The sequence below is a fragment of the Homo sapiens genome, chromosome 6 (genome assembly GCF_000001405.40).
Source record: "Homo sapiens chromosome 6, GRCh38.p14 Primary Assembly".
In the NCBI taxonomy this organism is placed as follows: Eukaryota; Metazoa; Chordata; class Mammalia; order Primates; family Hominidae; genus Homo; species Homo sapiens.
Window position 1 is genome coordinate 158,088,438 of NC_000006.12, and position 11,193 is coordinate 158,099,630.

Here is an 11,193-nt window from a genome sequence, read left to right on the forward strand (position 1 = left end):
TCTACATCAATAGGCACACACTGGTAGAATCAAGTGAGAAACTCCATAGAGAGTCAAGGAAGGCCTGGCTCTGTGGGTGCCCTAAGTGCCGAGTGAGTATTCGGACCTCACCGTGTCTGTGGTCTGCTGGGACATCCGCCTCGTCTAGTCGGGCTCCTGGCAGCTGGCTGGGAAGTTGTGCCTTCACTGAGATTGAGACTCTGCCCTCGTTGGTTTTTACAGCCGGTTTAATGGTGAAAAAGTCGGCTTCAGATGCGTCCATCTCCTCCGGCACCCATGGACAGTATTCAATTTTGCAGACGGCAAGACTTCTACCAGGAGCACCTCAGCAACCTGTGAGTTCTTCTGCATACATTTCAATCCCAAGGGTTTTGCCCCCGGGATAGTGTGGGATCTCTCTTCTCAGTGAATATATAGATTTATGTGTCTTTAACCCTCTACCTGCTCACCATCTCATCTCCAAACCCCATAACCCTTCCTCGCAGGTTCTCCATAGGGCTTTTAAATGGTTGTATGGAGTGTTCTAGAAAAAATCACTTTTGATGAAAAATCCCAAATATCCCTGGTTTCCATACTCATCCATTTCTCTCTCTTCCCATTCTTGCCTCTGACCTTGGTGTATGGGCAGAGCATTGCTTGGTAGAAGGGAAAATGGGAGAAATTCAGGTCGTTATCCTGGGAAAATGATGATCATTCTGGAGTGAAGTTGGTTGAGAGAAGAGGCTAAAAAGAGATGTAAATAATGAAGTTGGGGAACACACTAGGAAGACTAACAGCCATAGAGGATTGTGGAGGTGCCTGGTTCCAGAGGGTACCATGAGCTGCTGGGGAAGAGAGCAGGTGAAGGCAGGGAAGTAGAGGGGAGAGAGGGGAAGCTGGGTGCTAGGGGGAAACTGCTATGACCGGGATGCCTCTGGGGTGCTGGGCCTGGTTAAGTGCTTGTGCGGCCCCAGCAGGTGGAGGGGTGACTGGAGGCCAGTGTTTTACAGTAGTGAAAATAGGTCATAAAGGCAACCCACATGCTGGATGAAGAAGTAGAAAAAGCACTTTTAAGGAAGGTATTTTAACAACTCAGTGGGACCATGGAAAGAGTGGCCTCTTATTTTGCTTTCTGGCTTTCACCTGGTTATTGAAAAAAAGATAGAAGATGGTCTGTCCATATGCAAAAATCTGTAATCACCCGGCTTTGAAGACCAGGGTCATCAGGTCTAAGTAGTATGGCACTCTTGGAAAGAGAGTGCTCCAGGAAAGAGAGGATTGCAGGGTGTGGTGGAGGCTGGAGTTTGTATGGTCAGCATCGTCTGGTGGAGCCCTGCACAGACCCACGGGTAGCAGATACGTCCCACGAGGCTGTCCTCCTGCCTCTGCTGATACTCTGCTCTTCCTCATTCTGTCCTCAAGCCCAAGGCTCGGACTGGAATAAGTAAACCTTATAATGTCAAGCAGATCAAAACCACCAATGCCCAGGAGGCAGAAGCAGCAATCCGGTGTCTCCTGGAAGCCAGAGGAGGTAGGTGCTTTCCTGGGGGCAGGGGAAAAACCAATTCTCCTTTTCTTTTTATCTCCCTGCTAAAAGTGGTCTAGAAACGAAAATAACTCTTTTTATTCTTCTGGAGGCAATATTAAATGAAAACATCCTTTAGCAACATTTTATATAAATCTATACTAAGATTGATTGTCCATTTAAAATTGTATTTTCAAAATTCTGTGTGTATATAAAAATCATCCCAGGGCTATTAAGCGGCGTCTAAAGGAGAGACCGAAAAAAACCAAAATGAGTTTTTAAAAAAGGTGAATGCTGCCGGCATGAAGTCATTCTGCCAGCTTTATAAAACAGAGACAGTTATAGTGTTTGTCCTAATTTCAGGCACAAAATCTACCTTTTAAATCACTGGCAAGTGGAAATAAAGTTTTTAGTGTCAGGCAGGGACCTCTTTCCCACCACATTATTTTTTGTTGCTGTTACTTAAACCATGTTAGTTACCTTGGGCTCTCCCCCACTTCATTCATAATCACTGGTAATTTACACTTTTAGTTTTGGCCTTGGCTTTGTTCCAGAATCTCCTAGAGAGGAGAGTGTGCCCTTTTCTTCGTTTTTTTTTTTGTTTTTTTTTTTTTTTTTTTTGAGACTGAGTTTCACTCTGTCAGCTGGACTGGAGTGCAGTGGCTCAATCCCAGGTCACTGCAACCTCCGCCTCCCAGGTTCGAGCAAATATCCTGCCTCAGCCACCTGAGTAGCTGGGACTACAGGCGCGCAGCCCCATGATGAGCCAATTTTTGTATTTTCAGTAGAAATGTGATTTCACCTTGTTGGCCAGGCTGGTCTTGAACTCCCAACCTCAGGTGATTCATCCACCTTGGCCTCCTAAAGTGCTGGGATTACAGGTGTGAGCCACCACACCTGGCCGAGTGTGCCCTTTAAAAAGGTGTAAGCAATCACCATTGCTTAATTTGCTTTTAGTCAGCATGTTTAACTTCTTTGGAATTCTCAAATAATATTTAAGGGGGCATGAGTTAAAAGGTCGAGAACTACTGTTGTAGAATGATACTGCTACAAATGCTTTCTTTTTTTTTATTTTAGAAAAATAACTAAAACTAGGCCGGGCGCGGTGGCTCACGCCTGTAATCCCAGCACTTTGGGAGGCCGAGGCGGGTGGATCACGAGGACAGGAAATCGAGACCATCCTGGCTAACACGGTGAAACCCCGTCTCTACTAAAAATTCAAAAAATTAGCCGGGCGTGATGGTGGGTGACTGTAGTCCCAGCTACTCAGGAGGCTGAGGCAGGAGAATGGCTGAGCCCGGGAGGTGGAGCTCGCAGTGAGCCAAGATTGCACCACTGCACTCCAGCCTGGGTGACAGAGCAAGACTCCGTCTCAAAAAAAGAAAAAAGAAAGAAAGAAAAATAACTAAAACTATGGATATAACAACCCAAGTGTCCATCAGCTGATAAATGGATAAACAAAATGTGGTCCATCAATACAATGGAATATTGTTCAGCCATTAAAAAAAAAAAGAATGGGGCTGGGTGCTGGGTGCAGTGGCTCACGCCTGTAATCCCAGCGCTTTGGGAGGCCGAGGCAGGCGGATCACGAGGTTAGGAGATCGAGACCATCCTGGCTAACACAGTGAAACTCCATCTCTACTAAAAATACAAAAAAATTAGCCGGGCGTGGTGGCACGTGCCTGTTAGTCCCAGTTACTCGGGAGGCTGAGGCAGAAGAATCATTTGAACTGGGGAGGCAGAGGTTGCAGTGAGCCAAGATAACGCCACTGCACTCCAGCCTGGGTGACAGAGCTAGACTCTGTCTCATAAAAAAAAAAAAAAAAAAGAATGAAGTGCTGATACATACTACTTCATGGGTGGACCTTGAAGACATTATACTATGTGAAAGAAAGAAAAAAAGGCCACATAGTGTACCATCCCCTTTTTATGAAATGGCCACAGCAGGCAAATTCATGGGGTCAGAAAGTTCTTCTTGCTTTCCAGGGACTGGAAGGAGGCCTGGGTGGGGAGTGGCTGCTGTGGGGCTTCTTTTTTGTGTGATGAAAATGTTCTGGAGTTAGATCGTATGATGGTTGCACAACTTTGTGGATACACTAAAAACCAATGAATGGTACACTTAGAAAGGGTGAATTTCACGGTATGTGAATTATGTCACAATAAAGCTGTTAAAAAAAAAAAAACTCTAGAGATGTAGATGTTAGTAGAGGTGTGAAATCTACCTACAGTCCCGGCTTAACACTTTCTTGGTCATGGCCCCATTGAGATTTTGATGTCTTTGGATCATCTACCCTGAGAAATGTAAGTACACATGAGACTTTGCATATGATCTCAGGGTCTCACTGGTCCCCATCCAAACTATCCACAGACCCCAGATCACCACCCCTGCTAGGAAGGTGAGCATGAAAACCTGGGACTGCTGGGTGCGGTGGCTCACGCCTGTAATCCCAGCACTTTGAGAGGCTGGGGTGGGAGGACTGCTTGAATCCAGGAGTTCGAGACAAGTCTGGGCAACACAATGAGACCCTCTCTCTACAAAAATTTTAAAATTAGCTGGGCGTGGTGGTTCACACCAGTAGTCCCAGCTACTTGGGAGGCTGAGGTAAGAAGACTGCATGAGCCCAGGAGTTCCAGCAACATAGTGAGACCTCATCTCTACTAAAAATTTTAAAAATTGGCTGGGCGTGGCAGTGCTCACCCGTAATCCCAGCTACTCAGGAGGCTGAAATGGGAGAATTGCTCGAGCCTGGGAGGTTGAGACTGCAGTGAGCCGTGATCATGCCGCTGCACTCCGGCCTGGGTGGCAGAGCGAGAGCCCATCTTAAAAAAGAAAAAAGAAAAAAAGCTGGGACTGAATCTAGCTGATTACTCCTGAAATACACTGAATTAGTAAATGACACTTAGGATGTAGACTGTCTAAGGACGAAATCATGCAGTGAATTGCCTTGTCCTTTACACTTCAGCCATGTGGTTTTATGTTTCAGGTGCCTCCGAAGAAGCCCTAAGTGCCGTGGCCCCAAGGGACCTTGAAGCATCCTCTGAACCAGAGCCCACACCGGGGGCAGCCAAACCAGAGACCCCACAGGCGCCCCCACTCCTTCCCCGTCGGCCCCCACCCAGAGTTCCTGCCATCAAGAAGCCAACCTTGAGAAGGACAGGAAAGGTAAAAGCCTGGTAACATAAAACCTCTTACTCCTAAGTTGCTCACATGTCTCGATAGATAAGAATTGTGGCCTGTAATCCCAGCACATTGGGAAGCCGAGGCAAGCGGATTACGAGGTCAGGAGTTCAAGACCAGCCTGACCAACATGGTGTGAAACCCCGTCTCTACTAAAAATAGAAAAATTAGCCGGGCGTGGTGGCGCACGCCTGTAATCCCAGCTACTCAGGAGGCTGAGGCAGGAGAATCACTTGAACCCAGGAGGCAGAGGTTGCAGTGAGCCGAAATCGTGCCACTGCATTCCAGCCTGAGCAGCAGAGTGAGACTCCACCTCAAAAAAAAAAAAAACAAAAAAAAAAAAACAGATTTGCGTCTCACAGATAAAAATCTAGTTCCCTATGGACATCCTCACGTTCATGAGTCCCAGACACAGGTGTGTCTTTGGGGAAAGTTTTGACAACTGCTTCTTCCCTCATATCCTACTGTGTCTTGGCTCTGGCTGAGAAGAACGAGGAGTCCACTGTCTGGCACATTGTCAGTGTGACAAGAACAGCTTGGAGGTATTATGCTTCCTAAGTGTTTTGAGTCCCCAAAGGGAACCATAGTGGGATGCTTTTCCCCACATGTTCTGGTACCGCCCATTTGCGTGTGGTCTGTGTTGTGTGCACATGGTTTCAAGGCATTAGGAAAACAGTAACCGATTCCCAGATTCGCCATGTTCACATGCTCTCGTGCGGCCTCAGCCTACGAGAGGTTCCACAGCTTTTCTTGCCACTTTTCTTGCAGATTGTTTTTTGCTCTCGCTCTCAAGCTTCTCAGCCTTGCTTACTGCTTCAAAGACATGAGTTTGTAAGGACAGTAGCAGCCCAAAGACTGGCATCTGTAGACACATCTGGATCTTCCGTTTGATCTCAGTGTTCTAGTAACGGACCCTCGGTAATCCCTTCCTGGTCATCACAGCACGATGCTGCTTCCCCCCTAGAGAGTGTGAGGGGGGCTTCGGCTTCACTCTTGACAGCGCTTGCTTTGTATTTCCTGGGTTGCTCTTCTGTCCCACATTGGCTCATTGCCATCTGTCCCTTGTCCATGCTTCCTTACAAAGTGGACCTTTTTCCTCCGCCTCTTCCCTGTTCAGATGCTCCTCGACTTAAAATGGGGTTACATCCCAATAAACCCATCGTAAGTTGAAAAATAGCGTGTCAAAACTGCATCTCATACACCTAACCTAGCAAACGTCATGGTCTCGCTGACCTTGAACACACTCAGAACACATACATTAGCCTACGGCTGGGCAAAAAAAAAAAAAAAAAAAAAAAACACCCATCCAACACAGCCTATTTTATAATAATAAAAATAAAAGATCAAACTTCAAAATTCAAAGTATGCTTTCTACGGAACATTAGCGCTTGTGCACTAGGGTGAAGTGGAAAATCCTCAGTGGAACCATTGTAAGTCGGGGACCACCTGCTTTGTCTTTTCTTGTAAAAGCCAGGAGCAGAAATAGATTCATTTTCCCAACCTGCTGCACAGGAGTTAAAGTTAAAAGGCTGTTGGAAAAGAGACTTTCTTTTTTCTTAGTTTGTTTTCTAAAGAACCAAAGAAACACTGAAACGCCAATGTTTAACTAGTCTACTGATCACCTTTTCTGAACAAAAGCTTCATTTTGCCTGTGCAGTTGTTTTCTTTGTGATAGATTTGAACCAGAACCAAGGCAGTGTCAAGGTTTCCATTCTTTACCAATATTTAAGTATAAAAGATTCAAGGAGCTGGGCGCGGTGGCTCACGCGTGTAATCCCAGCACTTTGGGAGGCTGAGGCGGGTGGATCACCTGAGGTCAGGAGTTCAAGACCAGCCTGACCAACATGGTGAAACCCCGTCTCTACTACAAAATACAAAAATTAGCCAGGCATGGTGGCAGGCGCCTGCAATCCCAGCTACTCGGGAGGCTGAAGCAGGAGAATCGCTTGAACCTGGGAGGCGGAGGTTACAGTGAGCTGAGATTGCGCCATTGCACTCCAGCCTGGGGGACAGGGCGAGACTCCTTCTCAAAAAAAAAAAAAAAATTCAAGGAGAAAGTATATCCATTAGTCCTTCAGTTAGCTTATGTTGTAACACAAGTTACTTCACCCTAGCATGATACAGACCATGAATCAGCCCAGGTTGCAACTTCAAAGAGTGTTTTCAGAGAGGTTTGCTTTCAATAAAGGAAGAGCATCACCCCATTTCCTAAAGGACAAAGAAAAGTTTGTCTGATTATTTACTGTGGCCCTGGTTTTAAATTTTCCACTCGTTTTCATTGGACCTGCTGGTGTGACCTGATAAATGTGTGTTTCTCCTGTGCTTTTTCTTTTTCTTACCTGGTCACATTTCTGGCACCCCACACATTCTCAAATCTCGAATTTGCTAGAATGTCAGCTTGGTCTCATCTCTGTTCTCTGCTGGCCACTCTGTTCTCTGATCCTCAGCTGCCTAGTTATTGGCTTCTTATTTACACTCTTTGTCCCACCTTTTCTCAGCCCCTGTCACCGGAAGAACAGTTTGAGCAACAGACTGTCCATTTTACAATCGGGCCCCCGGAGACAAGCGTTGAGGCCCCTCCTGTCGTGACAGCCCCTCGAGTCCCTCCTGTTCCCAAACCAAGAACATTTCAGCCTGGGAAAGCTGCAGAGAGGCCAAGCCACAGGAAGCCAGCATCAGACGAAGCCCCTCCTGGGGCAGGAGCCTCTGTGCCACCACCTCTGGAGGCGCCGCCTCTTGTGCCCAAGGTACCCCCGAGGAGGAAGAAGTCAGCCCCCGCAGCCTTCCACCTGCAGGTCCTGCAGAGCAACAGCCAGCTTCTCCAGGGCCTCACTTACAATAGCAGTGACAGCCCCTCTGGGCACCCACCTGCCGCGGGCACCGTCTTCCCACAAGGGGACTTTCTCAGCACTTCATCTGCTACAAGCCCCGACAGCGATGGCACCAAAGCGATGAAGCCAGAGGCAGCCCCACTTCTTGGTGATTATCAGGACCCCTTCTGGAACCTTCTTCACCACCCTAAACTGTTGAATAACACTTGGCTTTCTAAGAGCTCAGACCCTTTGGACTCAGGAACCAGGAGCCCCAAAAGAGATCCCATAGACCCAGTGTCAGCTGGCGCTTCAGCTGCCAAGGCAGAGCTGCCACCAGATCATGAACACAAAACCTTAGGTCACTGGGTGACAATCAGTGACCAAGAAAAGAGGACAGCACTGCAGGTGTTTGACCCACTGGCAAAAACATGACTGAGCAGCTTTGAAGGCTGCAGTCCTATAGAATGCATACCTTCCTCCCTCTAGACATCCCTCCACCAGAAGAGACATCTATTTAAAGGCACACTGGCCAAAACGTTTGTGCATCTGTCACTCTCGTGTAGTTTACAAAAATCGTGTCTCTTATTCAGTAAGATGGTTACTCAGCCACCAAAATATATTTCACTCAAGGCTTGTACATCTGAAGTTTGCTCTTCAAGGAATGGGAACCTTCCTGTTAAATTCGGTGTATGGATTTTAAGAAAGGAATCTAGCCAATGAGGTCCAAGAAGTTCTCACCCATTGAATTTTTAAATGGCTGTTCAGTTCATGTTGTACGTGATGGAGATTTGTCTTTTGTTTTATTTGCATTTTACAGATTTGGTATAACATTTTGGGGAGCCACCTGAAGGTTGATGTATAAAGTAAGGATTAGAGAAAGAGGTCGTTGTGACCATTAGTAGCTGTCCTGGCCCACTTAAACAAGGTTACAAAAAATCAGAGTCGGAAGCAGCCAAATAGGTCAACCTAATGACTAGACTGTACATTCCCATGAGCCTTCATGTTTAAGTGTGTACATGTGCGTTAACCTTGATGATGCGTGAATCCCGAGGGAGCCGGTGGCATACACCGTTAGCTTAACCTTAGCTTAAACTAGCTGAAGGCTCCTGTGCCATGTCTTAGACATTGCATGCCCTATCAATTACTATAATCCTGAGCCATGGTGTGCTACTGAAACCAATTTTTATCCACCATCTAGTCCTTATTAAATGAAACCTCACGGATCCTTTGTTCCGCTTATATTCCATGCATACCACATAAAAGCACACAGTGCGAAAACTCTTGCTGATACGCGATATTGATTCTCATTGTTAGAATATGGAGAGTGTTTCAGCCTCGTCTGTCCGGCTGGAGCTTCGGGATGGAAAGTGCTATGTGTCCCTGCATATAAGAATCACCAGGCCAGTGTTTCTGGGTTTGCTTGTCTATATGTTTGTCTATATTTTTTGCCTATACATTTTTCCCACGTTTCCAACAGCACTTCTCACCTATTCAATAACTGAAAAAGACATTACCATAGTGCTTTACATTTTTAAAGTAATGTTACAAGGTCTGGAATCCATTTGGAGCAGATACCGTGTTTTCGCTATTTAATAAGAAGTTCAGTAGTGAAATCTTACTGTACCGCCTGTTGTATCTGGGAGCCTCGTACAGAGGCTCGCACAGCAGTGATCAAGTGTCATCCCTTACGTGACTGGGGGATGTCTGTCCTAAAAGCTGACTGCTAGGATAGTAAGGATCATCTTGCCTGGGCTATGCCACTGTCTTGTTACCAATTAGACATCTGGAATTTCATAATTAGTTTTCATTGTCACTGTCAAGATATATTGCAGATTACTTAAATATGGCCATCAAAACAAAAGTTACAACACGTATCTCTTTTCATCTGAAAACTAATACCTGGAAAAGGATAAAAAAAAAAAGGAATCCGTGACCCACAGAGCTAGACAGATAAGATGCATAGTTGACCAGTCATAAAAGGCGGTGTTTAGGTGATCAGGATGCCGTTGGTGGCATTTACGTGCTTTATATGATTTTTACCTCTGTAACAAACACAAGAAATAAACAGAATGGTCCTTAACAGAGTTTGGGGGAGAGAGCAAGATGGGTTCCTTGGAGAAGCTGATTTGCCAAGATGCACATCGCTATTAACAGCCAGAGTCATAAATGAAATGAAATTGAAGAATTCATTCAAATGCTCTTTTCCCTATAACCTCTTTTCTCACCAAAAAGGAGATAAATTTGAAAACAGATAAATGTAACAACCAGTCAAAGAAGCAGGGGAAAAGTAAGCTCCTCCAAAGTTGCTTGCAGTGCTGGAAATAGATCTCATTTTTAGGTTTTCTCTTCGTTCCAGATACCAAATAAATGGGACAGAGAATAAAATTTTTGTTAAAATATGTGCTCATCTCCTAAGTAGCTCTTCAGAGTCTGACCGTAAGTAAAAACACACAGAATTGTGTTGACTGGGGGAGGTGAATCACAAAAAAGTTACGAGGAGTTTAAGAGTTAAATATTATTTGATCGTGGCTGTCAAATTTAGTGAACAACATAGATTGGATTTGGAGTTGGTAGTAGGTATGGTTCTCATACCAGAATTCTCTTAAAAAAAAAAAAAAGGACAATTGGAATTGCCTTATTTATTTTTAAAATCAATGCTTACTAGTTGGTAGGATTCCCAGGTCAGCAGCAGGGTTGATTAAATAATCTTGACAATGAGCAGCTGCCATCTTGGGGGATTTCATTCTGTGGTTTTTTAAATGTTTCGTCTTTGATGCTACCATCCAGGGCTTCTTATTGTGACCTTGTAGCCTATTTTGTTCCTGCTGTTCTCTAACATGGTGCAGTTCACGCAGACTGGTTTAGGTACTTCACAACTCACCATTGTCTCTCTGACCCCAAGCCTAGTCCCTTTTACATCACCATCTTCTCAGACTTCTTGCCTATTCTTAAAATATGTTTTGGTTAATGATTGAATTAGGACATCAGCTTAAGCAATTCCTGTAACGGTTTAACGTTGTTGAAGTTCAAGGCACATAATAAAATTCTCCCTGATGTGTGTGTAAGTATAAACAAAGTAATGTATCAAAGCGTTCACTTTATAATGAAGTCATTTCATTGGGAAGGAAAGCTGCAAAGATTATTGGGGGACTAGTGATTAATAAAATCCTGTAATATTTTTGAAGTGAAAATTTGTACTGAAATTGTACATGATACCTATTAAATGTTTTTGTCTTTTTTTAAATTGGGTTTATTTCTTTTCAGATATGAAGAGAACCTTAGAATATCTTTGGCTACCTTCTGTTCTGGATCAAATGTAATTACTGGTTATTTAGTAATTCCTCTTGAGTTTCGGGTTTTGGTTTTTTGTTTTTTTTGTTTTTGTTTTTGTTTTTTTTGGAGACAGTCTCACTCTGTCGCCCAGGGTGGAGTGCAGTGGTGCGATCTTGCTCACTGCAACCTGCAGTGAGCAACCCGGGTTCAAGCAATTCTCCTGCCTCAGTCTCCTGAATAGCTGGGCTTACAGGCATGTCCCACCATGCCTGGCTAATTTTTTTGTATTTTTAGTAGAGACGGGGTTTCACCATATTGGCCAAGCTGGTCTCAAACTCCTGACCTTGTGATCCGCCTGCCTAGGCCTCTCAAAGTGCTGAGATTACAGGTGTGAGCCACTGCGCCCAACCGGTTCGTTTTTTTAA

The 11,193-nt window shown here is 45.0% G+C and overlaps 1 protein-coding gene across 13 annotated transcripts in view, besides 1 other annotated feature; it reads left to right on the top strand.

The window, feature by feature from the left end:
- The window catches only part of SYNJ2 (synaptojanin 2), a 117,881-nt gene extending 107,142 nt beyond the window's left edge, over positions 1-10,739 (top strand). For 10 of the 13 annotated variants that reach the window (XM_047419472.1, NM_003898.4, XM_011536224.2 and 7 more), the window contains 4 exons: positions 223-335; positions 1,402-1,510; positions 4,489-4,667; positions 7,181-10,739. In XM_047419472.1, the coding sequence (XP_047275428.1) occupies positions 223-335; positions 1,402-1,510; positions 4,489-4,667; positions 7,181-7,927 (1,148 nt within the window). In that variant the 3' untranslated portion in view covers positions 7,928-10,739. Of the gene's footprint in view, positions 1-222; positions 336-1,401; positions 1,511-4,488; positions 4,668-5,450; positions 5,601-7,180 lie in introns of those variants that run through there. The other 3 variants (NM_001410947.1, XM_047419475.1, XM_011536227.3) reach the window with 3 other exon arrangements.
- Positions 7,446-7,946: an enhancer, noted in NCBI's record as "H3K4me1 hESC enhancer chr6:158516915-158517415 (GRCh37/hg19 assembly coordinates)". NCBI's record gives its function as "activates a minimal SCP1, AML or CMV promoter by ChIP-STARR-seq in primed H9 embryonic stem cells {active_cell/tissue: H9 hESC(primed)}" and the evidence as "EXISTENCE:reporter gene assay evidence [ECO:0000049][PMID:30033119]".